Here is a 27,854-nt window from a genome sequence, read left to right as displayed (position 1 = left end):
GTTTGAGACCAGCTTGGCCAGCATGGTGAAACCCTGTCTCCACGAAAAATACAAAAATTAGCAGGGCATGGTGGCACGTGCCTGTAGTCCCAGCTACTCGGGAGGGTGAGGTAGGAGAATCACTTGACCCTGGGAGGCAGAGGTTGTAGTGAGCTGAGACTGTGCCACTGCACTCCAGCGTGGGCGACAGAGCGAGACGCTGTTTCAAAAAAAAAAAAAAAATATATATATATATATATATATGAAAAGCGGAAGAGAAAGGGGGAAAGGGTGGTTAATAAAATCACCACAGCAGGAAGTCAACAGATACAACAGACACAGTTAAAATTAATAAATCAAGTAATAGAGGCATGAGTATATTATTTACAGTTATGAAATTTAAAAAATTAACATGATGACAAACATGGTAAAAAACAAAAAACAAAACACAGTTGTTTCCAGGAGTTGGGGTATTGGGAAATGAGAGATAGCTTTAAACTTTTTATTTCTAACCTTCTATTGGAATTGATTCTGCATTTCCATCTACATTAATTATATTTGAGATTTTCTTTTTAAATTAGGCAAGCACTATTCACAATAGCAAAGACATGGAATCAACCTAAATGCCCATCAATGGCAGATTGGCTAAAGAAAATGTGGTACATATACACAATGGAATACTATGCAGCCATAAAAAAGAATGAGATCACGTCCTTTGCAGGAACGTGGATGGAGCTGGAGGCCATTATCCTTAGCAAACTAATGCAGGAACGGAAAAACCAAATATTGCATGTTCTCACTTATAAGTGGGAGCTAAATGGTGAGAACACATGGACAGAAAGAGGTTAACAACAGACACTGGGGCCTGCTTGAGGGTGGAGGGTAGGAGGCAGTAGAAGATAAGAAAAAATAAATATTGGGTACTAGGCTTGATAACTGGGTGACGAAATAATCTGTACAACAACCCCCGTGACACAAGTTTACCTATATTAAAAACCTGCATATGGACCTCTGACCCTAAAATAAAAGTTTAAAAATAAAATAAAATAAAATTAGGCAAAAAATCTAGGTAATTCTGACATTGTCCTACTGGCTCAGGGACTATTGCGGTAGGATCAAGTTAAACTCTCAGGCAGGCAGCCAAGGCCCCTCGCTGCCCCATGCACCCACCTACCTCTGCTTGGGAGCCAGGATTGGCACCTCCTCCAGGAAGCCCTCAGGAGGAAGAGGGCGCCCTCTGCCGGGGCAGGAACGCCAGCACGCCTGGGGAGCAGCCTTTTGCTCATCATCAGGGACTCCGCCCCTATCCCTCAGCAAGGGCCTCCCTCCCCCGCATCACGTGATCTCAGCTCCTTTTCAGCTAGTGGGTGGAACCCCAGGAGGGAAAACTCAGGGAAGCCCAGGTGAGAGCGACGCGACCGATGGGGCCCGGATTTCTTGGATGCTGGGGGACTGTCCCAGTAAGGCTTGGGAACCTGGGTGGGGCGCCTTTCAGAACGGGACCGATGGGAGAGAGACGAGAAGGGTTATGGGCACGAACCCCGTTCAGTATCTGCTCCTTGCGCAGTGTGAGAACTGGGAGAGAGACTCCTGGCCCTTCCACTTCCTGTGCTTCCTTGGGTGAGTGTCTTAACATCTCAGAATCTCAGTGTCCTCACCTGTGGCTGCCAGTATGAAATGAAATAAGCACATAAGTCATAAATAAATGGTATCTTATTAGGTCCCATTTAAGCGAATGTGTGAACTCTCAGAGACAAGAAGACCCTGGAGGCCACTGTAGCTCGGCCCTGTTTGGAGGCAGGCCTCTCCACCCTCACCCAGGACACCAGCTCCTGCTGGGTGCTCCCCTCCCTGGAGTGCTCACCCCTAGGCCTCAGGAGTGGAAGGGTCTGGGAGAGCTGGCTGGAAGAGGGGCTCCTCCCAGTTCCCACTGAACGGGCTGACAGGTCGGACTCTCCAAGACAAAGTCTCCTCTTTCTGTCTCCACACAGGGCCCGTGTTGTGCTTTTGGCCCAGGTAGGTGGACAGACATGTCCCAGGCGGGGGACGTAGAAGGCCCCAGCACAGGAGACCCTGTGCTCAGTCCCCAACACAACTGTGAGCTTTTACAGAACATGGAAGGAGCCAGCTCCATGCCAGGCCTGTCACCAGATGGGCCGGGAGCAAGCTCTGGGCCCGGAGTCAGGGCTGGCAGCAGAAGGAAGATCCCCAGGAAGGAGGCCCTTCGAGGTGGCAGCTCCCGGGCTGCAGGTGCTGCTGAGGTCCGGCCAGGGGTCTTGGAGCTGCTAGCTGTGGTACAGAGCCGGGGCTCGATGCTGGCTCCTGGGCTCCACATGCAGCTGCCCTCGGTGCCTACTCAGGGGAGAGCTCTGACCTCCAAGAGGCTCCAGGTTTCTCTGTGTGACATCTTAGATGACAGTTGCCCCAGGAAACTTTGTAGCAGGTCTGCTGGCCTCCCAGAGAGAGCTCTGGCCTGCAGGGAGAGGCTTGCAGGAGTGGAGGAGGTGAGCTGCCTCAGGCCCAGGGAGGCCAGAGACGGTGGAATGAGTTCTCCAGGGTGTGACAGAAGAAGCCCCACACTCAGCAAAGAGGAGCCCCCTGGAAGGCCCCTGACATCCTCACCAGACCCAGTCCCTGTGAGGGTAAGAAAGAAATGGAGGAGGCAAGGGGCTCATTCAGAGTGTGAGGAAGGGGCTGGTGACTTCCTGTGGCTTGATCAGAGCCCTCGTGGGGACAACCTCCTGTCTGTGGGAGACCCTCCCCAAGTTGCTGACCTGGAGTCCTTGGGAGGCCCTTGCAGACCTCCCTCTCCAAAAGACACTGGGTCTGGGCCTGGAGAGCCAGGTGGAAGTGGGGCAGGATGTGCCTCAGGGACTGAGAAATTTGGATATTTGCCCGCTACAGGGGATGGGCCCCAGCCAGGCAGCCCCTGTGGCCCTGTCGGGTTCCCAGTGCCCAGTGGAGGGGAGTCCCTCAGTTCAGCTGCACAGGCTCCTCCACAGAGCGCAGCACTGTGCCTGGGGGCGTCAGCACAGGCCTCTGCAGAGCAGCAAGAAGCTGTGTGTGTCGTGCGGACTGGCAGCGATGAAGGCCAGGCTCCAGCACAGGACCAGGAGGAGCTGGAGGCCAAGGCTCAGCCAGCTTCCAGGGGAAGGCTGGAGCAAGGACTCGCTGCCCCCGCTGACACCTGTGCCAGCTCCCGGGAGCCCTTGGGCGGCCTCAGCTCCTCCCTGGATACTGAAGCCAGCAGGGCCTGCTCAGGCCCATTCATGGAGCAGAGAAGATCCAAGGGCACTAAGAACCTGAAGAAAGGTCCAGTGCCCTGTGCCCAAGACCGGGGCACAGACAGAAGCTCAGACAACTCCCACCAGGACAGGCCAGAGGAACCCAGCCCAGGAGGCTGCCCCAGACTGGTGAGCTGAGTCTGAGAGTTTGGGATAGGAAGGGCCTGGCCATGTTTCTCAATACCATACTTGGCAGTGGAATTTAATAAAGCTAAGCTAGATGGGCGCTTCATGAACATTCTCACATCCCTATTAACTAAACTGGGTAAAATGAGGCCCACAAACTGGGAAAGAGAAAATAAACTACATTCGCTGAATCCTTGTGAGGGGTCATTATCTTTTGGAGTCAGTGAGTCCTGGGTTCGAATTTTGCCTCTGCCCACTTCCTAGCTGAATGACTGTGGGATGTTTTCTTAACCTCTCTAGGTTTCCTCATTGTAAAAAAAGGATACTAATTGCAGCTTCATGGGGTTGTTTCAAGGATTAAATGAGATTATGGTATAAAATAATGTGCCTAGGCCTGGTGCAGTGGCTCACGCCTGTAATCCCAGCACTTTGGGAGGCAGAGGCAGGCGGATCACGAGGTCAAGAGATCAAGACCATCCTGGCCAACATGGTGAAACCCTGTCTCTACTAAAAATACAAAAATTAGCTGGGCATGGTGGCACATGCCTGTTCCAGCTACTCTGGAGGCTGAGGCAGGAGAATCACTTGAACCTGGGAAGCAGAGGTTGCAGTGAGCTGAGATCGCACCACTGTACTCCAGCCTGGTGACAGAGCAAGACTGTCTAAAACAAACAAACAAACAAAAAAAAGGTGCCTAGCACAGCACAAGGCACAAGGTAAATTGCTTAATTCGTGTTAAATTTGCTTTTCCTTTAGTGTTCACAGTTACCCTGTAAGATAGGCGTTAGCCCCATATAACCAGATGGGGAAACTGAGGCTCGGAGGGTTAATAATATTCTCCAGGCTCACATAGCTGGGGAGTCAGTGACCAGCCATGTTCCCTATATCACCACTTCCCTTTCCTTTGTTCTTTTACTTATAATCATCATCATTTTATTAATAATCATAGCTAACATTTATACACCAAAGGCAGAAGAAGACTCTACTTGTTTTTGGTGTATATTTCTCACATAGTTGGATTTTCATCACATTTATTGAATATGCATGATGTGCTAGATGTTTTTGATTTAATCTTCACACGACGTCCACGGAGGTGAGGTTACAGACCCAGCTGGTGAATGGGAGCAAGGCTACAAGCCTAGGCGGTCTGTCTTGAGAGCTCACTGCACTGCCTTCTCTGTGTATTTTCTGTGTTATCGGCACAGTCGTAACAGCATCTGGCTTGCTTAACATGTGCTGGATATTGGGCTAAGCACTTTATCTGCAATCTTTGTAACAAGCCTATGAGGTAGACTCTATTGACATATACCCATTTCACTGATCTGAACACTGAGGCTCTGAGAGGTGACATGAGTACTCAAGGCCAAACAGCCAATTAGTAAAATAGAACCAGTGAGCTGTTTTCCACTATGCATCAAGCCTTTTTACCTATAAATAGGCTCCTATTATGCCTTATTGTTCCAGGACTTTGCTTGGTTTTGTAAGTTCCGTAGTATTTGAAGGTCTTTCCCAGTGGGTTCACCTTGTTCTGCCGAATTTGATCTTTTCCTGAGCCCTGCATCATAGCTGTCTATGGATGTATTTGTCGCAGGCACAGGCGCTGTCGGGATGAGGGCTGGGACTTCCTCTTCTCATTTCCAACCACTGTAGTGTAGTGAGGAGCATGAGCCCTGGAGGCCAATAGGCTAACATTCAATCTTGACTTTGCCACTATCTGAACAACCGAGGTGAGTGGCTTCACCTTTTCAAGTGTAATTCTCTCATCTGCAAAATGTGGGTATGAAGAGTGCTTACCTCCTAGGGAGGTGGTGAGGATGAAATGAGATGACACATGTTTGGCATTTAACACAGTGCTTGGTGCAAGAAAAATACTCAAATAGGTTACCTGTTAGTGACATAAGCAATTTCGTCCTGCTGTAAGTAGTGCAGGGGTGACCATCCTTGTGCGTCTGGCTCCTCCCTTCTTCACATGATTTATTTGGACCAGATGCCCAGAATTGGGATTCCTGGGTCTGCAGCCTTTAAGGGGGCTGGTTTGAGTGCGGTGGTGGAGCCAGCTTCCTGCCTGGCTTGACTGGAAGCAGCCCATGACTGCTGGCTCCTCCAGGCTCCATCCTTGACTGCGGCACAGCCCATCATCCCACAGCTTTCCAAACAACTCGTTGCCATGACAACCAGTACCAGCTGCGGGAGAAGAATTGAGTCTGGGCTGTGACAGGGACAGGCGGGTGGTTGCAGACAGGGCTGAGTGGGGCCTGGGCAATGGGGGGCACAGTGCCCGGCTGGTCTGGAGCCCCGTTTAGGGCCTTAGCACCTTCCCCTGGAGACAGCCTGGCTTGTGGCAGGGGCAGACAGGTTCAAGGTCAAGCTCTGCCTCTTAGTACAGGGTGACTTTAGACATGTCTTCAGACATTTAGATGAGTTTAACTTTTTTTTCTTCCTTTCTTAAGCTCAGTGGCAAGAAGACTTTTTTTTTTTTAATTTACTTTTTTTTTAAGATGGGAGTCTCGCCCTGTCACCCAGGCTGGAGTGCAGTAGCACAATCTTGACTCACCACAACCTTTGCCTCCTGGTTTCAAGGGATTCTCCTGAGTAGCTGGGACTACAGGTGTGGGCCACCATGCCCGGCTAATTTTTGTGTTTTTAGTAGAGGCAGGATTTCACTATGTTGGCCAAGCTGGTCTCAAACTCCTGACCTCAGGTGATCCGCTGCGTCGGCCTTCCAAAGTGCTGGGATTACAGGCATGAGCCACTGCGCCTGGCTGCAGAAAGACTTTAGACATTTAGAAATGTCTCTTCTCTGAATCTGAGTTGCCTCCTCTATGAAGTGGGGAGAATGAAGTGGGCCCCAGAACTGCCAGGAGTCTGATATCAGAGGCTGGCCGTGTTGTATTCTTCTGGCATGAACCAGAGACTCTTGGAGGAGAGATGGGAGGGGGACTGGATGCCATTCTCTTGTCCGTCCTGGGCCCCACAGTGGCCAGTGAGGTTTGGAGCTGCTCTATGGGTGGGATAGCAGTGGGTGTGTGTGTGTGGGGCAACTCTGCCAGTGACCCTGGGCTGCTCACATTCCACCAGTCATAACCAGGGAGGCACACAGCTCCTCTGGCCTGACCCAGAATCCCTGGTTCAAGGTATGCTGTCTGTAGCTGCAAAGTGTCAAGAGGTGAGTGAAGGAGGAGAGTGTCTTCCTAACAGAAGAGCAGCCTAAGAGGAGCTCGTTTCATTAGTGTGCCTACTATAGACTGAGAGCTTCAAGTATGTCATCTCATTTAATCCTTACATTAACCATTAAAGGTCAATGTCGGCCAGGCGTGGTGGCTCACACCTGTAATCCCAGCACTTTGGGAGGCCAAGGCGGGTGGATTGCTTGAGCTCAGGAGACCAGCCTGGGCAATGTGGCAAAACCCTGTCTGTAGAAAAAATACAAAGATTAGCTGGGCATGGTGGCTTGTGCCTGTAGTTCCAGCTACCCAGGAGGCTGAGGTGAGAGGATCACCTGATTCCAGGAGGTCAAGGCTATAGTAAGCTGTGCTGGTGCCCCTGCCTTCCAGCCTGGGCAACAGAGTGAGACCCTGTCTCAAAAAAAAAAAAAAAAATTCAACACTAATATCCCCATTTTACTAAGTAAGAAAACTGGGCTTCCGAGAAGTTAAGTGACTCACTCAGGCCACATCGCGAGTAAGTGGCCGAGCCAGGGTTTGACTCCAGTCCTGCATAACTTGACTGTTCACGGGGCTTTATTATAATTTGTTGAACAAGGAGGGGGCTCGTCCAGGGATCTTACAGTCTAGTGGGAGGAGAAAACCACTAACCAGAGAATTGAAATACAGACTGAAGCCCAGTGGACTGTGGATGTCCAGAGGGGAGGGGAGGGCAGAGGAGGGGGCTGTCTAAACTGGGTCTAGGCAAGGGAAGTAGGTGTTCAGCAGGTGAGAAAGTAGGAGAGGCTTGCTAGGAAGAGGGCAGTGCTCTGCAGAGCTGCATTGCAAGAGGCAGCTTGGAGTGTTGCAGGAGTAGAGGGTGGGGGTTACAGGTGGAACGGGAGCCAGGTGGGAGAGGCCAGCTTGAATGGAAATGGAGAGCCTGCAGGGTGGTCGAGTGTCAGGATGGCCTTTCTCCAGGGCAGGGACCAAGGAACTTTATCAACACAGGCATTTACAGAGAGAGCTTCTTCTGTTCCAGGCACTGTTCTAAGAGTCTCGAATAGTGATAATGATCGTTGCCCCAACACCATGAGGTAGATACTGGTATTATCTTCATGCTACTGATGAGAAAACTGAGGCACAGAGAGATTAAGTAACTTTCCCAAGATCACACAGTTCCTAAGTGTTGGCACCAAGTATCCCCATTGCATGAATATGCCCCAATTTATTTATTTGTTGACTCCATGTGGACATTTGGGTTTTTTGGTGTTTTTTTTTTTGGCTACTACATATAGTGCTGCTGTGATAGTTTTGTATGGTTTTTGGTACATATGGGGTATCTCCAGGGAATATTTTCTGGGGTGGAATTGCCAGGTTATAGAGTGGACACATCTTCAACTTAAATGGTGCCAGATGTTTTCTAAAGTGGTTGAAATAGTATACACCCCCATCAGCAGTGTATGAATATTCTGGTGACTTCACATCTTCACCAGCCCTTGATGGTAGCAGACTTAGGTTTTTTGCTGAAATGGAGATATGCTGTGGTGTCTCAATGTTGTTTTAATTTCCACTGCCCTCTTACTAAGGAGCATCTTTTCATGCATTTTGGTTATTCTTATTAAGTCTTTTCTTTAAAAAGTTTTTTGGCTGGAGTACAGTGGCATGATCTCAGCTCACTGCAACCTCCCCCTCCCAGGTTCAAGCGATTCTCCTGCCTCAGCCTCCCAAGTAACTGGGATTACAGGTACCCGCCACCATGCCCGGGTAATTTGTGTATTTTTAGTAGAGACGGAGTTTCACCATATTGGTCAGGCTGGTCTTGAACTCCTGACCTCAGGTGATCCTCGGCCTCCCAAAATGCTGGGATTGCAGGCATGAGCCACCAGGCCTGGCCTGTTTTGTGCTTTGCATATGTTTTGCATTTCTACACTTTCTCCCATGTAAAAACACAATTGAGTTTTGTTTATTGATTTTGCATCCAGAAATCTTGCTTTTATTAATCTATATAATTTATCTATTTGGATTTTGTTTGTTTTCTATGTAGACAAATGACAGTTTTTGTTATTTCCTTTCCAGTTCTTTACATCTCTCTTCCCTTCCCTTTCCTTACTGTACTAGCTAAGACTGTTAGTATAGTGTTGCATAGAAATGGTGATAGCAAGGAACCCGTGACTTATTCTGGATTTTAAAGGAAATGTGGTCATCGTTTCACCTTAAGTATGACACTTGCTATGTTATTTATATAGATGCCCTTTATCAGGTAAAGGAAACTCCCTTCTCTTCCTGGTTTGCTAATTATTTATAATTATTATTATAATTATTACAATTACAATATTTACAATTATTATAATTATTATTATTGCACAGTGCATTTAATCACATGTGTTTTTTCCATTTCTGAGATAATAGTATGATTTTTATCTTCGAATTTATTAACGTTAATTTAAGGAGTTAGTGTTTTTTTTTTTAAATATTAAGTTTTTTAAAATGTTAAGTTCTTGCCTTGCTGGAACAAACCCAATTTGGTAATGCTATATCTTTTTCGTATTTTGTGAATTCAATTTCATGTTTTGTTTCGGGTTTTCAATGGATGAATTAACTGGCCTGAAATGATTTGTTCTATAATACCCTTGTGAGATTTTGGTATCAGGGTTTTGCTAGCTTCATAGAATGAATTGTGGATTATCTTTTTGTTTTCTATTTTCTGGGATAATGTATTTAAGATTGGAATTATTTGTTCTTTGGACATTTTGATAGAATGGCTGGTTAAAAAAAGTATGGACTGATGTTCTCTTTAGGGAAGGTGTTTCCTTCCCTACTGATTCAATTTATCTTGTGGCTATAGGTTTATTCAGTGTTGTTTTTCTCTTGAATCAATTTTGGTAAGTTATACTTTTCTAGATATCTATTTGTTTCATCTGAGTTTTCAAATTTATTGGCATGTTGGCATACAGTATTTCACAATAGCCTCTTATCTTTAAGGACTGCGCACTTGTAATTATACATTCCAAATTTTAGCTAGTTATACCTCCTCTCTTTTCCTTAATCAATCTTGTCAGACAATTGTCAGTTTTTTCAAAGAACCGATTTTTGGTTTGTTCATCCTCTCCACTATATGTTTGTTGTCAATGTCACCTTCCGTTCAGTTTATGCTACTATTTATAAAGTCTTAAAAATTATGCTTAGTTCATTAGTTTTCTGCCTTTTTTCCTTTCTAATAAAGTCATTTAAAGCTATAAAAGAACCTTTTAATTATCGCTTTTGCTGCATTCATAGACTTAACATACAGTCTTATCATTCAATCTCAATATTTTATCATTTTTAATTACAATTTTTCTTTGACCTATCTGTTATTTAAAAGTCCCTTCCCTCCCCTTCTCTTCCCTCCCCCTCCCTCCCCTCCCCTCCCCTCCCCTTTTGAGACAGAGTCTGGCTCTATCCCCCAGGCTGGAGTGCAGTGGTGCTATCTTGGCTTACTGCAGCCTCCACCTCCCAGCTTCAAGCAATTCCCATGCCTCAGCCTCCCAAGTAGCTGAGATCACAGGCGTGTGCCACCACGTCTGGCTAATTTTTGTATTTTTAGCACGGAGATGGAGTTTTGCCATGTTGGCCAGGCTGGTCTCAAATTCTTGACCTGAGGTGATCAACCCGCCTGACCTCCCAAAGTGCTGGGATTACAGGCGTGAGCCACCACGCCTGGCTAAGAGTGTATTTCTTAATTTCCAAACATATTTTGTTGCTTTTGTCTTTATTGCCTTCTAACTTAATGATATTGTGGTCTGAGAAGTTGGTCTTTATCTGAGTTATCCAGTCTGATAGCCACTGGCCGCTTGTGTCTATTGAACACTTGAAATTTGGTTAGTCCAAATTGAGATGTACTGTAAGTGTAAAATATACACTGAATTTCAAAGACTCAGTACAAAAAAAAGTAAACATTTCATTAATAGTTGTTCATGGCTGGGCGCGGTTCCTCACGCCTGTAATCCCAGCACTTTAGGAGGCCTAGGCGGGCGGATAATGAGGTCAGGAGTTTGAGACCAGCCTGGCCAACATAGTGAAACCCTGTATCTACTGAAAACAAACAAACAAACAAAATTAGCCAGGCGTGGTGGTGGGCACCTGTAATCCAAGCCACTCAGGAGGCTGAGGCAGGAGAATCGCTTGAACCTCGGGGGCGGAGACTGCAGTGAGCCGAGATCGCACCACTGCACTCCAACCCTGGGCAACAGTGTGAGACTCCGTCTCAAAAAAAAAAAAAAAGTTTTCATATCGATTGCATGTTGAAATGATAATATATTGGATATGATGAATTAAAGAAACTACAAAATTAATTTCACTTTTTAAAATGTGGCTACCATATTTAAAAGTACACATGTGGCTTATGTTTCTGTTGGGCAGTGCTGATCTAAAAAAGTCTTTTGAAATTTGTTGATATTTGCTTTTTGGCCCAGGCTTTGCTCAATTTTTATATATGTTGCATGTATACTGGAAAATAATATGTATTCTCTAGTTATTAGGATTAATATTCCGTATATATTTATATATATGTACAGATGAAGCTTGTTGATTTCATTAATTATTTTTTATTCCTACTGATTATTTTGTCAGCTTTATTTATCAATAGTTAGAGAGATATATGAAATTTTCTTGCTCTCATGGTGGATTTGTCTTTTTGCTTGTAGTTTTTTTTTTGCTTTATAGTTTTTGAGCTTATGCTATTAGATGCTTATAAGTTTAGAGTTGTTATAGCTTCCTGGTAAAACTACATATCATTATGTAGTCAGTCTTTGCCCTCTAATGATTTTTTGCCTTAAAATCTGTTTTATCTGATTATTAATATAGCTACAAAGCTTTATTTTGGTTGGTTATTTGCCTGTTCGTATATTATTCCATTTTGTTATTTTAACCTTTTTGCATAATTATGTTTTAGAAATGGGTCTCATAAAGACTTTATAACTGTATTTTCTTTCCTTAAAGGTCTGATAATTTTTGTATTTTTCTGAAGTATTAGTACATTTACATTTGTTATAGTTACTGATTTATTTACATCTACTCCTACCATTTTATTCTGTGCTTTTTTTTGAGACACAGTCTCACTCTGTTGCCCAGGCTAGACTGCAGTGGCGTGATCATAGCTCACTGCAGCTTTGATCTCCCGGGCTCACAATTCTCCCACCTCAGCCTCCCAAGTAGCTGGGACTACGGGTGCATGCCACTGTGCCTGGCTCTTTAAAAAAAAATTTTGGTAGGGCCAGGGTCTGGCTGTGTTGGCCAGGCTGGTCTCGAATTCCTGAGCTCAAGCAATCCTCACACCTCAGCTTCCCAAGGTGCTGGGATTACAGGTGTGAGCCACTGCACCCGGCCTGTTTTGTGCTTTGCGTATGTTTTGCATTTCAGCACTTTCTCCCTTTCATTGCCTCCTTTTGGATTATTTTTTCTTACTCCTTTTTATCCCTCTAGTAGTTTAGATGTTTCCTATCCTCAGTTTATATTTTTTTGGTGGTTCTCTTAGAAATTTGAGCACAGGCCGGGCTCGGGGCTCACACCTGTGATCCCAGCACTTTGGGAGGCCGGGGCCAGTGGATCACAGGGTCAGGAGATGGAGACCATCCTGGCTAACACGGTGAAACCCTGTCTCTACTAAAAATACAAGAAAAAAATAGCCGGGTGTGGTGGCGGGCGCCTGTAGTCCCAGCTACTCAGAAAGCCTAGGCAGGAGAATCGCTTGAACCCGGGAAGTGGAGGTTGCAGTGAGCCAAGATCATGCCACTGCATTCCAGCCTCGGTGACAGAGCGAGACTCCATCTCAAAAAAAAAAAAAAGAAAGAAAGAAAGAAAAAAGAAATTTGAGCACAAATAACTAACTTATCAAAGTATAAAGGTAGTTACAATCTTTGTCTTACTCCAAAATGATATAGGGATCTTGGAATGCTCTAATTCCAAGCGCGTACCTTTCCAATTTGTGTGTTGTTGTTATCCAGTAAATTAGTCCTATCTTTTTTTTTAAAAAATCCCCAAATTACACACTGTTATTATAGTTTCATACAATCAATGTTTATTTAGATTTAACAACATCTTCATCATTTTCTTTGCTCAAAATTCTTCCTTTCATCTTATCTATCTGGGATTGTTTTTCCTTCCTTCTGCCTCAGGTTTATCTTTTAGCATTTTGTTTATTGAGCAAAGCAAAATTATCAAGAAAAATAACAGCTCTCTTGATTTTTCTCTACAGTATCTTTATTTCTTCCTTATTCTTGAAAAGTATTTTGTCTGGGTCCACAATTGATAGTTATTTTCTTTAAGCACATTGAAAATATTATTTTTTTATGTTTTGCTTTTCATTATTACTATTGAGAAAGTAGCTGTTAGTCTAATTGCCATTCCTTTATAGATGAAAGGTATTTTGGTGAATGGGATCATAGAATAGTAGTTGAAGTTATGGCCTCTGGAATCAGACTGTCTGGATTTAAATCCCAGCTCTTTGGTTTTCTAGCTGTGTGACATTGGGCAAGCTGATTAACCTCCCTGTGCCTCTATGTGCCTTAGTTTCCTCTTTTGTAAAATGGGGGAGATAACAGTACCAGTACCTCATAAGATTATGGTGAGGATTAAATTAACTAATATGTAAAGCACTTGCCACAGATGTAGCACATTTTAAGTGCTAGTCAAGTGTTAGCTATTATTTTTTCTCTTTATGCGTGTAAGGATCTCCTTATCATGAGTGTTGATGTGTCTAGGTATGAATTTCCTTTTATTTATTCTGTTTGAGATTCACTGAGCTTTTTGAATCTGTAAATTTTTGTCTTTTATCAATTTTGAAAAATTCTTAGCCCTATTTCTTTAAACACTGCTTCTACCCATTCTCTTTCCTCTCTCCTTCTGGAACTTTAGATTAATCATTTTCACCCTTCCTTCCTTCCTTTCTTCCTTCCTTCCTTCTTTCTTCCTACCTTTCTTTCTTCTTTCTTTCCCTCCTCCTCCTCCTTCTTCTCCTTTCCTTTCCTTTCCCTTTCCTTTCCTTTCTTCTCCTTTCTTTTCTTCTCCTCTCCTTTCCTTTCCTTTATTTTGAGACAGTGTCTTGCTGTGTCACCCAGGCTAGAGTACAGTGGTGTGATCATAGCTCACTGCAGCCTTGACTTCTCCGGCTCAAACAATTCTGCCGCCTCAGCCTCCTGAGTAGTTGGGACTACAGGTACACACCACCATGCCTGGCTATTTTTTTTTTTTTTCTTGTTTTTGTAGAGACAGGGTCTCGCTATGTTTCCCAGGCTGCTCTCAAACTTCTGGCCTCAAGCGATCCTCCTGTCTCGGCCTCCCAAAGTGCTGAGATTACAGGCGTGATGTGTCTCTTAGTGCTTCACAGTGTTCACAAAGTGCAACACATTTAATTTATTTAAATGTGTTGTCCAGTTAGCTAATTTGTTTCAGCTGCATCTAATATGCTATTAAATCTATATATTGAGTTTTTAAATTTTAATTAAGATCGTTATATTTTTCATTCCCAGAAGTCGTGTTTGGTTCCCGATCAAATCTGCCCGGTTGTTTTTTGTAGTTTTTTTGTCCTTCACTCATGTGTTCGTCTCCTTCTTTTATTTCTTTAAACATATTATACATACATAGTTTGTATTCTGGTCTGATAGTCCAGTGTTGAAAGGCTTCGCTCATCTCATTCTCCTGCCTGTTGTTTTGGAGCCTCATAACATGGACGTTAGGACCCCTGAGACGGGCCAGCCAAAAGGCTTTGAACTGTGAAGGGCTGGTCTTGATATTCTTCCCACACCCCTGTTTTCTTTGTTTTTTTTTTTTCTGCCTCTTTCTCAGTTTACTTTTTTGAAAGGCTGATTCATTTCCATGGTTCAAAAAAACAAAAAAAGTGAAACTCATCTTTCCCGGCACCCAGTTGCTTCCCTACTGGCAGCCTGGGTTAGATAGGTTCTTGCAGATACTTCCTGTGATATTTTATGTGTATTCCAGCAAATACAAATTTTAAAATTCGTTCTGTCTGTAACGCGAATGGTAGCACACCACACGTATTGTTCTGAACTTGTTTTTAATAAAAAAACATGTTTCCGGTTGTAAAAGAAATACACGCTCGTTTTGAATAACATGAATACCCAAGTTCCTACAAGTAGAAAGTGAAAGTCTCCCTGGAATTTCATTCCCCAGAGATAACCTCTATTATGTATCTGTAAATATATATTTACATAAATGGGCTTATGCAACAGATATTGTTCTGTAACCTATTTTTTCTTTTTCTCCCAATAATACTTCTTGACATCTTTCCATGAATCTTTCCATGTCTCCACATAGCCCCGCAGCTAAGTGCTTGGGCTTTGGAGTCAGACAGAGCTAGGTTCTAATACTAGCTCTGCAGCTTAGCAGCTATAGGACTTTTCAGATCCTCTTGGAGCCTCAGTTTCCTCATCTGTAAAATGGGGATAGAAATAGTATATACCTCATGGTGTCATTCTGAGACCTTAATAGCATGAATGATGTGCTTCTGTGGGGCCAGCTACTTCATAAACCCTCAACAAGTGGTAATTTTTATGATGACTTCCTTACCCTTTATAAGCCACATAGAATTCGTAGTATGAAGTGTCACCATTTATTAACCATTTCCCTTTGATGGGCCTTTTTTTTGAGATGGAGTCTCACTCTGTCACCCAGGTTGGAGTGCAGTGGCACGATCCTGGCTCACTGCAACCTCCGCCTCCTGGGTTCAAGTTATTCTCCTGCCTCAGCCTCCCGAGTAGCTGGGATTACAGGCACCCGCCACCATGCTCAGCTAATTTTTGTATTTTTAGTAGAGACGGGGTTTCACCAGGTTGGCCAGGCTGGTCTCGAACTCCTGATCTCAGGTGATCCACCCGCCTCAGCCTCCCAAAGTGCTGGGATTACATGCGTGAGCCACTGCACCTGGCCTGATGGACATATTTTTTATTAACCATTTCCCCTTTGATGGACAACTTTTTGCTGTAAGTACAACTCAGTGAACACTGAACACACACCCTTTCAACAAGATTGTCTTCTTTTTGTGAATTCCCTGCCATGGGGTGGCTGGGTCCTCTGGATTCTAATCTCTGCATCCTCTTTCTCTCCAAGGAGGAAGTGAAAATACCCCATGGAGTGAAGCTTGTGTGCTACGTAGGTTTTTACATTTTATTATTGCTTTTCTTTCTCCCTTGCCTCAGGTGGGGTGGAGTGGGAGGGCTCCTCCACAGTAGATGTGGAGATCCTACCCCCACCCAGCCTGCCCTCCCCCAGTGGATCCTAGTGCTCCCCTCCCTCTATAATGTTGGATCTTAGACTTTTAGTTTCCTGCAGACCTTGGAACCTGACCATTTCATGATCATTCATTCAAGGATTAGTTTTCAGACTCACCTACTTTTAAAACAATTCCCTGTGGTTTGCAATAAATGAAAAGAATTGAAACACACTTAAAATGGGCTAAAAGCCTAAAGAAAGCAAGAAAAGAGGAAGGAGGTGGGGGATCTTGTTACAACAACACCTTGCTCTCTACCAATCCTGGAAAGGTACACCTGCCAGGCTCAAAGTTAACACTGAGCTTCCTGGCAGCCATAGCAAAAAGCCGAGCGGGACAGATTCCGTAGTTCATTAGAAGAACAAAATCTACTTTGCACCTTGAAATGGTCATGAAGGGATTTCTTTTATGGGCAATAGGGGAGTGATCAGCAGCCTTACAGAGTGTAAGCCTTACAGATGCCTGCATTTGGCTGCTTCAAGGGAGAGGCAGACAACAAGTCAGTGACCCCTGAAAGGGGCATGACAGAGCTTTGAGCAGGAGGAGGGGGAGTCAGAACAAGGTATGTCCCTCCTGATGAGATGCATCTGTGGTCAGAAGAAGAGTGAGAGGGTCCTGGCACAGAGTTCAGTTAACTATGAATGTGACTGGGGGTTAAGGGGGAAGTTGAGAAAGGATGCGGATGGAGACAGGCCCCTCTCCTGGGACAGAGGCTAGCCAGGTAGCAAACTTTCACTGAACACTATGTGCCAGGCCTTTTCCAAGCATTGCAAATACAGCGGGGACCAGGACAGGCATGTTCTCTATCCTCACGGAGCTTACACTCCAGTGGGAGAGAGATGTTCAACAATTACAGATGAGGCGAGCACTCTGAAGGCGGGGACAGCGGCTGGCCCCGCTTGCTTCTGAAGTGCGATCTCCCCCGCAGCTGGGTTCCGGGCCAGTGATCCAGCTCCTGGGGGCCATCAGCCACGGCCAGGCAGGGGGGCAGCTGCCACCAAAGCTGGAGGTTCTAGAGGACTTGATGGAGGTCAGCTCACCCTCACCTGCCCAGAGGCTCAGAAGGAAGAAAAGGCCCATGGTGCAGGGCCCTGCTGGGTGCCAGGTACAGAACAAGTGATGTCATTTAATCCTGCTGAGAGAGGCACCTTCACACCTGATTCACAGAGATGTCACTGAGGCTCAGAGAGAGGGTGCCACTTGCTCGCGGTCATTCAGAATAGCCAGAGGCAGGGTTCGGCCCCAGCCTGCATGGCTGGCCTGGGCTCCATGTGTACTACTTTCTGCAGCTCTGAATTCAGGGTGGACTGGAGGAGGGAGGGGCTGGGCCTCCAGTACATCTGGGGAGGGAACAGTCCCTGGCCTCCATTTCCGGCCAATAGCTTGTCTGCTCCCTGCCCCAAGGTTTTCCAGCCTTCTCCTTCAGGAGGCACAGCAGGGGACCCTGGTGGCCTCTCTGACCCCTTCTACCCTCCAAGAAGCGGTTCCCTGGCCCTTGGCGACCCCAGCTCGGACCCTGCATGTTCCCAGGCAAGTTGTTCTGCCCCGGCCATGTGCCTCCTTCACTGGAGCATGGGTCAGGGAGGACGTGGGAGTGGGGAGGTGACTAGAGGAAGCAGTGTCCCCTGGGCTGGAAGCCAGGCCCACCAGCACAGCCTCAATTCCTCACGCCTCCCCTACAGAGTGGCCCAATGGAGGCTGAAGAGGATTCTCTTCCGGAGCAGCCAGAGGACTCAGGTGAAGGGCCCTGGAGGGAGCCTCTTCTGCTTCCAGAGACTGCTGGGGTCTGGGGAGGACTCAGGCCCAGCTCCTGGGCCCAGCCCCTGCTATGATTCTTCTCTCCCCACATCCCATCAGCCTATAGCTCCTCCCCAAAGGGGTGGGGGAAGGGGTGGGGGCCACTGGCTGCCTGGGCTTGGCTCCCAGATGGATAGAGGGAGGGGTCTAGGTCTTTGAGGGTGGGACCCCTCTCCTGTCTGCCTAAACCCATCAGCCTTGAGTCAGCCCCCTCCCCTTTCCCCTGGGCACCCCTGGGAGCCTGTGACGCTCTCTCCCTACAGCTCAGCTCCAACAGGAGAAGCCATCCCTGTATATTGGGGTGCGGGGCACTGTTGTCCGTTCCATGCAGGAGGTACTATGGACTCGGTGAGGCCTTGCTCCCCACTCCCCTGACATCCCAAGGGCCGCCCTCACATGCCCCCGCCTCCGGGGCCCTGCCATGTTCTAAGGGCTTCTGGGTGTCTGGCTAACCCCATTTGGTAGCTGTGCCAGGTCCCTTGCCCATACCAAGAGCCAGTGGAGAGCTGAAATTTGAAGCTGGGTCTCTCTGGCTTTAAGGCTGTGCTTCCCCACTTAGCTGCTGCAGCTCTCAGCCTCGGCTCAGGTCCATCCACATCAATGTCACCCGCAGCAAATGCTTTCACGTAGAGTGTGTGCTGGGAGCGGCTCAGAGATCTGAGCCCAGAGCTGTCATTTGCTGATGGGGAGACCAAGGCTCAGAGAGGGTTGGACTTTGCAAAGGCCACACAGCAAGTCAATGACAGATGACACCGAGGGCCAGGGCTCCATTCTCTCCCCCTGACTCCTGCCTTACTCTGACCTGACCCCGGCTTCCTCCCCTCCACACATCCCGTGAGCCAGAGACGGGGCACAGGCTGGTGAGTCAGACAGTCGAGTTTCAAATCTTGCTTTTGCCACTAATTACACAGTTGTGAGTAAGCCTCTTATTTTCCCTGAGCCCCAGTAACCCCATCCATAAAAGGAGAATGATCCTATTTCCTCCTCACGGAGTTGGGGTGAGAATAAGTAGGTTCCTGCAGGGAAACACCCACGACAGGAACAAGTTGGCCCAGACCCTGCCGCCCACCCAGCTGCCTCCCTCTGGGACTAAGTGCCTGGAGAGCCTCCTGGGCTCAGTGCCCCCGCCCTGCCCTGGCCTCCACAGCCTTCGGGAGCTCCCAGACCCAGTGCTGAGTGAGGAGGTGGTGGAGGGCATTGCTGCTGGCATTGAGGCAGCCCTCTGGGACCTGACACAAGGCACCAATGGCCGGTACAAGACCAAGTATCGCAGCCTGCTGTTCAACCTGCGGGACCCCAGGAACCTGGTGAGCAGGGCTTTGGGCTGGGCTGCGTCCCCTCTCTGAATCTCAGAGCCCCTGCAGGATGCTAGGGTGGGGGAGCTCTTTCAGCGTGTGGTGCAGCCCTGCCCCCTGCCCCCACCAGGACTTGTTTCTCAAAGTGGTTCATGGAGATGTCACCCCCTACGACCTGGTGCGGATGAGCTCGATGCAGCTGGCCCCCCAGGAGCTGGCCCGCTGGCGGGACCAGGAGGAGAAAAGGGTGAGTGCTGAGCCCAGTCGGGATGGGTGAGGGGATGTAGGGGCAGAGTGGGTGGCCTGAGAGTGGAAGAGGGAGAGACAGAGACAGGGAGGGAGGGAGGAGGAATTCAGAAAGACAGAAACAAGGAAACAGAGAAGGCAGATAGGGAGTCAGAGAGACCCTCCCCACAAGAGAAACAGGAGAAGGGGTGGAAATGAAAGGGACTGGGAATGGAGAGCTTGGTAGAGATGTGACACACTTGGTTTTCAGTTGAGCTGGACTGTGGGGTGGGGGGCTTGGGAGAGGACTGTGGTGAGACCTAGAGTCCGGAGTCCTGAGGTACCTCTTTTCCGATCCCAGCTTCAGATGCCCTGGAAAAGCCTGGAGGTCTTCCTGGTACCCCAGGTTGGGGGAGGGGCCCCATAGCCCCTGGGTTCACAGCTGTGTCCCCATATACCCTGTATCCATGGGTCTCTCCCTGCCTGGGAACTGCTCTGGGACAGGGAAGCTGTGGCACTGAGCAGGCTTTGGAGAATGCTCACCTCATGTTTGTTGGTGGCCCAGTGAGAGAAGAAGGGACTGATTTAGGGGCTGAGGCCACTGGGATGGGGCGAGGCACTCCAGCCCCTGCTCTGGAAGACACTGAACTGATTAGAATGAATAACCAAGAGTCCATCAGGTGAATCTGTCCACTATAGGCTGAGCTTCTGTCCAGGCTCTGTGGGGGCCAGGGATCAGGACTGGCTTTGTAATTTGTGGGAGCCAGTGCAGAATGAAAATGTGGGGCCCTTTGTTCAACAACTGCTAAGAATTTCAAGGTGACAACAACAGAGCGCTAAACCAAGCGTGGGCCTCCTAAGTGCAGGGCCCTGTGCGATTGCACAGATCTCATGCCCACGAGGCTGATCCCACCAGAGAGGAGCAGACCTCCTGTTCTCCAGGGGTTGTTAGAAAAGGAGAGACAGGTTTTCAGGAAGTATTGCAGATAGAGTGACATTGATCGACAGTAAGACTCACAACTAGCATTTACTATGAGCCATGTTCCAGGCTAAGCACTCTATATATGTTGTTTAATATAGTGCTTTAAATTAAATTCCTACAGAACAGATAAACTGAGGCTTAGAGCAGCTAAGTGCTTGCCCCAGGCCATACCATCTTATGAATCTTTATTAATGGCCCAGTGGGAACTCCAGAGCCTGCACTCTTTCAGCAACACCACACCCTTCCCAGAAAAGGATGAGGTACCGTCAGAGGTTGAATTGACCTGTGAGTGAAAGCGAAATCCGGGAAGGCTTCCCGGAGGAGGCAGGACTTGAAGGGTGAATCAGTGGAATACGGAGAGGTAGCGCTAAGGGTGGAGGGCTTCCCAGAGGAGGGGTATGGCGGAAGTAAAAGTTTTGAGGAGAGGGGAACCACAAGAGAGGGGCCTCAAGGGAGGAAAGTGAGCACTTGGGCTTTTGATGGCCAGAGGCCCCCTAACTGGGCTCAGCTTGGCCTGCTCCACCTCTTCAGGGCCTGAATATCATTGAGCAGCAACAGAAGGAGCCGTGCAGACTTCCAGCCTCCAAAATGACCCACAAGGGCGAAGTGGAGATTCAGCGGGACATGGACCAGACACTGACCCTGGAGGATCTGGTGGTTAAGTTGGAGCCTGACCTGGTGCTGGGCAGAGCCCATGCCTGGGGGTCCCACGCCTCGCCTCACCAGCAGTGTGGTCTTGGGCATGTCACCTGACTGCTCTGAGGCCCACCTTGTTTGTGATAAAACGGGGACAGCGATCCTTAACGCATAGGGGAACATGGGGTGGGACAGTGCTGCTGGCACAGGCCTGCCAGCGCCTTGTCACTGTCGGTCCTCCTCCTTTTGGCCTCACCCCAAGGCCCCCACATGAGTGGTATTAAGTCCCATCATCATAGTCATCCCCAACCTGGCATTCTGCCCAGATCTCTGCTGGGAAGCAGCAGGCTGCGCTGTTCCAGGCAGTGACTTTTTCAGATGGAAGGAACGAAGACCCACTGTATTCAGTGGATTGGTTTAGGGATGCTCCAGGCAGGGAACCACCCGGCACCCTGGCAGTCCATCCAGAGGGCCTCCTGGAACTTGTCCTCAGACCTGGGAAGCCAACGGGAGTGACAATAGTCTAGGGCTCTTGGCGCTGAGGATCTGCTCCATCCTCATGTCCATCCTGCTCCTTCCTCTCCCTTGGCCCTGGCTTGCACATAGCCTGACATGGTGGCTCAGCAGCCCCAGAATCCATGAAGCCATCATCTCAGACTCCTGCAGTTGATTAGAACTTTCCCTTGGCTTCCTTCGGTCACTCTCAGAAGGCCACTCTGGCTGTAGTTGAATGTTCTGTGGGTCAGATGTTCACCTGGGTCTCATCAGCTGCCTGTTCAGGAGAGGGGTGCAGGGCAGGTCCCTTTAACTATATTCAGTCAGTCAGTATATTTATGGGGCACCTACCAGGTGCCAGGCACGGTTCTAGGCACTGGGGAAGTGACAGTGAACGACAGAAATCCCTGCTCCCCACTCCTACCACTAATATTCAGGCCAACGACTGGGAGAACCTCTACCTGTGCCAAGAGGATCCCTAAGGGGTGTGGCTGCTCCTCAGTCTAAATCAGTTTGTATTCCCTGAACAAACTGAATGGCAATGTAGGAGAAAGACCTAGATAGCCCCAGAGAGGAAGAGAGAGAGGAGGTGGGAGGGGAGGGGAGGGGAGGGGAAAATAACACATGATAGCTATCTTTACTGTTTATTGAACACCTACTGTGTGCACCTTTTACAAGCAGTGTCTCATTCACATCTCACAATGGCCTAGGAGGTTGGTGCTATTCCCTGCCCATTTCTGGGATGAGGAACCTGGCACCAAGGTCACATATGTGCAGTGGGGAAGCTGAGATTTGAACCCAGGCTGGCTGACTCCAAAGCCTGTGCTTTGAGACTGTTCTGGAGGTGGCTGATAAGAGTAGAGTTTCAAAATCTCTTTAAACCTTCCTAAAGCAATGATTGTTTTATGTTTAAAGCTATTTCTAGTATGAGGAAAAAAAGTGATTTGGCAATAGACGTCAAGAGTCTTTAAAATGTTCCTTCTCCCTGATTCTGTCATCTGCTTCTGAAATCTTGTCCTAAGGACATAATTTAAAGTTTAGGAAACTACTTTCTGCACAAAAAATGTCCTCAGTGCTATTTAGTAATAGTGAAAACCTGGAAATGACCCAAATGTATAGCAACAGAGGTGAGACGTCCACTCCAGTCTCACCCCATCACAGCAGTGTCTACGGGGACTATATGATGTGACAAATGCCTCTGCTATTATTAGTGAACAAAAAGAGAACACCAAGTTGAATATATGATCCCAGCTGTTTCAGGAAAAGGACCCCCAAACCCTGTGTATAGAAAAAGATTATAAAGGGCTGGGCACGGTGGCCCACACCTTTAATCCCAGCACTTTGGGAGGCCGAGGCGTGTGGATCATGAGGTCAAGAGATGGAGACCATCCTGGCCAACCAACATAGTAAAACCCCGTCTCTACTAAAAATACAAAAATTAGCTGGGCATAGTGGCACACGCCTATAGCTACTCAGGAGGCTGAGGCAGAAGAATCGCTTGAACCGGGGAGGTGGAGGTTGCAGTGAGCCGAGATCGAGCCACTGCACTCCAGCCCAGGCAACAGAGCAAGACTCTGTCTCAAAAAACAAACAAACAAACAAAAAAAAAAAAAAGAAAAGAAAAAAAAAGAAAAAGATTGTAAAGGAATACCCAGGATATCAACAGTGGTCTCTGAGTGGTGTGACAAGAAGTGATTTTCTTTTTAATTTTCAAGTTTTGGTGTTTTCCAAATTTTCTTTATGAGTTCACAGTATTTTGGTAATAAAACAACATTTATTATTGAGAAAAATAAACCACATCCTGGGGCCCCCTACCCATGGAGGCCTCCGGGCACCCCCAGCCACGTTTTCAGCCTGCCCCTCTGTCTTCTGCCTCCCAGGGACCGCAGATGTTCATGGACTGCAGCCCACAGGCCCTGCCCATCGCATCAGAGGACACCACGGGGCAGCATGACCACCACTTCTTAGACCCCAACTGCCACATCTGCAAGGGTGGGAGGGGACACGGGAGGGGTGCAGGGGTGGCAGCCAGGCTGGGGCTGAGCGTGCAGTTCAGCAGCAACAGGGATTTGTGGCCTGGGGAGAGGGTGGCAGAGCAGGGGTGCCCGTGCCCCAGGTCACCTAGAAAAGAACCTGGTTCAACCCTGGCTCTAAAGCCCTGGGCTGGCTTCAGCGCTGCTGCTGCCCCTGTTTCAGCTCCTGCCTCTGCTATTTGCAGACTGGGAGCCCTCGAATGAGCTGCTAGGCTCCTTCGAAGCCGCCAAGAGCTGCGGGGACAATATCTTCCAGAAAGCCCTAAGCCAAACTCCTATGCCTGCTCCAGAGATGCCCAAAACCAGGGAGTTGTCTCCCACGGAACCACAGGACAGGTGTGGGGTTGGGAGCAGGGAGGTGGATAACCCAGCAGGGTTGAGGGGGAGGCCACCACCTGGTGCAACAGACATAGCACTGGCTTTTCCTGTGTGGCCTTGGGCAAGTCTTCCCTCCCTTGGGAACCTCACTTTCCCCATCTGTGCAATGGAACTAATCATCCCAGCCTCCTGGCAGCCCCCTGCACAAGGCCAAGCTTGGGCCAGTGTTCCAGTCCCCACAGTAGGGACACAGGATCTGCTCTGAAAAGAAAGGAGGTGCCGGGGAAGTCCTCATGGCCTGCTCTGTCTGGCCCTGTCTTCTGTCCCTCCCTCTAGGGTCCCTCCATCTGGGCTCCATGTGCCTGCTGCACCCACAAAGGCCCTGCCCTGCCTGCCACCCTGGGAAGGTGTTCTGGACATGTTCTCCATCAAGCGGTTCCGGGCCAGGGCCCAGCTGGTCTCGGGACACAGCTGTCGGCTTGTCCAGGTGCACCTGCCCTCCTCGCCAGGGATTCCCTTACACACTGACCAGCCCAGGCAGCCTCTCTCTCTCTCTCTCTTTCACTCATGCATTCTAAAACAATTCATGGGCACCCCTTTCTGTGCCTGGCCCTGTGCAGGGCATGGGGGCAAATGAGATGTTGGTCCCATTCCTACAGAGACAAACAGGGTGAAGGACTCCCTGTCACCCATAGCAAGAAGGGCCCAAAGGAGGGTTTTAGGAGTGATCGTTGAGTGACTTAATGATCAGCTAAAGTGTCGGATGAGAGCAGAGGATAGAGGAGGGAGGGAGGGGCTTTGGAGAAGTTGTAGATTAGCCAGTACAGGCTGCAGACCTCCATGGGGCAATTAGAGCTTTCTGGGCAGCCACTGAGGGTCCTGGAACACTGCCTGCCCATATTTGCCACAGGCTGCAGCCTTCCAGGTGGCTGGGAATGCGTCCACCCTGAGTGGGTGGGAAGCTGGGGAGCTGACTGGCCATCCTTCCTGCCCCTAGGCTCTGCCCACCGTGATCCGCTCGGCAGGCTGCATCCCCTCCAACATTGTCTGGGACCTTCTGGCCAGCATCTGCCCAGCCAAGGCCAAGGTACCTGCCCACTCTTGGGCACCCCCTCTTTTCCTAGTACCTTACTCCCACCTCCCTCTCCACTTCTAGAGCAGAGGCCTGGCTTGGATATCTGGGTCTAGTTCCCAGAGTGACTGCAGACTCACTGTGTGACCCTGGACAGGTCCCTCTGTTTCCTCCTCTGGAAGATGGAGACATACTTTCTCACGGGGTTCTCAGGGGTTTCAGGGAGCCCAGGGGTGTTGGCAGGAGCAGAGGATGACTGCGCTTACAGCTGCTCTCCTCCTGCCACCGCAGGACGTCTGCGTGGTCAGACTGTGCCCACATGGGGCCCGGGACACCCAGAACTGCCGCCTGCTCTACTCATACCTCAATGATAGGCAGCGCCACGGGCTGGCCTCTGTGGAGCACATGGGGATGGTCCTGCTGCCCCTGCCTGCCTTCCAGCCCCTGCCCACCAGGCTGCGCCCTTTGGGGGGCCCAGGTGAGTGCCTAGTCCCCATACCAGACCCTGCCTCTGCTCACTTGGTGACCAGACCAGGCACGGTTGACACAGTCACCCAGTAGAGGCAGGCACATCTCAGAAGGGAACTCCTCACCCAGCCAGGCAAATGTGAGTACAATGACAGTAATAGCTCACGCTTGGATATCATGAACTGCATGCCAGCCATTGTTCTAAAAGCTTTACCTAGATGAATTCTTGTAGTCTCATCACCCTATGAGAATGGTACTATTAGACTAGACTGTCCATCTCATAGAAGAAGAATCTGAGGGAGGAAGAAGGCAAATGACTTGTCCAAAGTCACACAGTCAGTCAACAGCAGAACTGGGCTTCACTCTGTTCACACGTTGTGTGAAGCACAACATGGCTTCAGAAACCTGGCCCCTAACCACCACACCACACTGCCTCTCAAGGTAGGCACCCCTGAAGAGAAACTCCAGGGACAGCCACATTTGACCCAGGCAGCAGGACAGAGTCAGGACCTACACACACTTGACTGTAAATGTCACCTCAGAGAGGAGGGAGGGATGTTTCGCCACAGCCACGGGGGGCCGAGCTCGGCCTCTGTGCATGGACACCCTCCACGGCGTGGCTCAGGAAAGCAGCGAGGTTGGCAGTGGGCGCTTTGCCCACTCCTGAGCAAAGCGCTTGGCCTTTTGGGGCTCCATGTCCTGAGACAATGAGGTAGACTTTGAGTCTGTAGAGTCTTCAGGTCAAACAATCCATACCCCAGCCTCAGCCAGATAAGCCTTGATCCCGCAGAGCTCAAATCTTCCGAGACAGCCCCACCTTCCTACTTACTTTTCCCAGCATCTCATGGGCCCCATCTCACTGTGAAGAAGCCCTTCCTGGGATGTAGGCTCCAGATCTGCTGCAGCTAAGCTGAACACAGTTCTTCCCCGCAGGCCTTTGGGCTCTTCCTGTCTCCCCTCTCCTTTCCCCAGGTCTGGAGGTCACTCACTCAAGTCTGTTGCTGGCTGTGCTGCTCCCCAAGGAAGGGCTTCCAGACACAGCAGGGTCCAGCCCCTGGTTGGGGAAGGTTCAAAAGATGGTCTCCTTCAACAGTAAGGTGGAGAAGAGATACTATCAGCCAGATGACAGGAGGCCGAATGTGCCCCTGAAGGGCACCCCTCCCCCAGGAGGTGCCTGGCAGCAGAGCCAGGGCAGGGGCAGTATAGCTCCAAGGGGAATCTCTGCTTGGCAGAGGCCCCCCAGAGGCAGGGGGAGGCTCTGGCCAGAGCCTGAAAACTGGCAGCATCCTGGGCGAGGGCAGTGGCCCCCAGAGCCAGGCTTGCGCCAGTCCCAGCATCCCTATTCAGTAGCACCAGCTGGTCATGGCTTTGGCCGTGGCCAGCACTTCCACAGGGACTCCTGTCCCCACCAAGCCCTGCTCCGGCACCTCGAATCCCTGGCGACCATGAGTCACCAGCTCCAAGCCTTACTGTGCCCCCAGACCAAGAGCTCCATCCCCCGCCCTCTGCAGCGTTTGTCTAGCGCCCTTGCAGCTCCAGAGCCCCCTGGCCCAGCCCGTGACTCCTCTTTGGGGCCTACAGATGAAGCTGGCTCTGAGTGTCCCTTCCCTAGAAAGGCCTGACCCTCCTTACCCACCAGAACAGGGGTTTTGATGCCCTCACTAGTGTTGAAGCCTGTTCCAGAGAGAGGTGGGACTGCAAGGAGAGGATGGTCAGCCCTACCCACCTGCCCTGTTTGAACTTCCTGTTTGACAATGTTTGCTGTTGATTTTTTGTTCAATAAAGAATTTGGTAAAATTGGGATTGCATCTGCTAGCTGGTCAGGAGAGCCCCTGGTCCTGGTCAGATGTGGGTTGAGTGGGTGTGTCAGTGAGTGTCTTGTGCACAAATGTGCAGCCTTGCTCATTGCTGGTCTGAGGTCCTGAACCATCACTGCGCCCCAGGGCACAGCTATTGCCACGGTGGTTTCTGGAAGCATTTTGCAAGTATTCTGAACCAGGAGGAAGAGGTGGTGGTGGGAAAGAAAGTAGGACCGAGGTTGGGGGTGGAGAGAGAAATGGACAGAGCCTTTTGGAGGGTCACAGACATCAGACATCAAGAGATTGCTAGAGAGGAAAAGATAAGCAAGTTGCAGTGGACTTTAAATTTTTCAGTTAATACTAAGATTTTTTTTTCCTTTGACTAGATGGGGAAGGATAGTACATACCTTCACCATATTCCCTCCGAGTCTCTGTCTATGTGCTTCTCAGGGATCTCTGTGCACTAGTGTGCCTGCAAGCATGTGAGAGTATCTGTGTGAGTTTCATGGCCTGCCTGTGTGTAGGTCTCTGTTGAGGAAGTCAGGAGATCCAGATTGGGTGACTCCTCTCTGTATCTCTTGCCAGATTCCAGAGACTGGTGTTAGAAAATGTCAAAGGTCTTAGCCTTGGTGGTGGGCATTCAGGGTGGGGTTGGAGACTGGTATTAGGGTTGGACGGTGCTGCCTTGCCTTGGGCCTAGAACAAGCTTCTAACAGCAACTGCAACTGTCAAGCGTTTCATGTGGGGTGTACCTCGAGAGAGCTGCATCTGCGGACTGATGGGGGAACCAGCTGCCAGGGCCAACCAACCCAGCGTGGGGAAAGGGGCCTGGCTTCCAGGAGAGAACCTCTCTAGAACCCCACCCTTCGCCCCGGGGCCAGAAGGGCCCTACCCGCTCTTTGCTCACCCCTTCGCAAAGTCCACCCATGTACAGGCC

At 49.1% G+C, this 27,854-nt stretch overlaps 1 protein-coding gene across 13 annotated transcripts; it reads left to right on the top strand.

The window, feature by feature from the left end:
• Positions 1 to 1,320: 1,320 nt before the first annotated feature.
• SPOCD1 (SPOC domain containing 1) lies at positions 1,321 to 26,921 on the top strand. Of its 13 annotated transcripts, none has more exons than XM_011542413.3 (16): positions 1,321 to 1,382; positions 1,971 to 1,995; positions 15,638 to 15,679; positions 16,726 to 16,902; positions 17,202 to 17,327; positions 17,480 to 17,534; positions 17,858 to 17,942; positions 18,742 to 18,901; positions 19,020 to 19,136; positions 20,628 to 20,753; positions 23,108 to 23,219; positions 23,446 to 23,596; positions 23,915 to 24,065; positions 24,576 to 24,665; positions 24,942 to 25,128; positions 26,091 to 26,921. In XM_011542413.3, exons 4-16 carry the CDS (start codon positions 16,822 to 16,824, stop codon positions 26,738 to 26,740), a joined length of 2,091 nt encoding a protein of 696 aa, XP_011540715.1. In that variant the 5' UTR covers positions 1,321 to 1,382; positions 1,971 to 1,995; positions 15,638 to 15,679; positions 16,726 to 16,821; the 3' UTR covers positions 26,741 to 26,921. The 13 variants fall into 13 exon arrangements, with proteins under 13 accessions (XP_011540715.1, NP_001268916.1, NP_653170.3 ...); NM_001281987.3 differs by having other exon boundaries at positions 1,971 to 3,392; NM_144569.7 differs by having other exon boundaries at positions 1,971 to 3,392; positions 26,052 to 26,921.

The sequence above is a fragment of the Homo sapiens genome, chromosome 1 (genome assembly GCF_000001405.40).
Source record: "Homo sapiens chromosome 1, GRCh38.p14 Primary Assembly".
In the NCBI taxonomy this organism is placed as follows: Eukaryota; Metazoa; Chordata; class Mammalia; order Primates; family Hominidae; genus Homo; species Homo sapiens.
The sequence above is the reverse complement of the archived record's forward strand: the minus strand, read 5'-3'. Positions and strand labels throughout refer to the sequence as shown.

Bases quoted from the DNA above. Each gene is read 5' to 3' on its own strand.
- SPOCD1 (NM_144569.7), top strand. From the start codon at position 2,010: ATGTCCCAGGCGGGGGACGTAGAAGGCCCCAGCACAGGAGACCCTGTG. The intron at 15,680-16,725 runs GTAGGTTTTTAC...TCTCCCCCGCAG, and splicing joins GAGTGAAGCTTGTGTGCTAC to CTGGGTTCCGGGCCAGTGAT. The intron at 17,535-17,857 runs GTGAAGGGCCCT...CTCTCCCTACAG, and splicing joins GGAGCAGCCAGAGGACTCAG to CTCAGCTCCAACAGGAGAAG.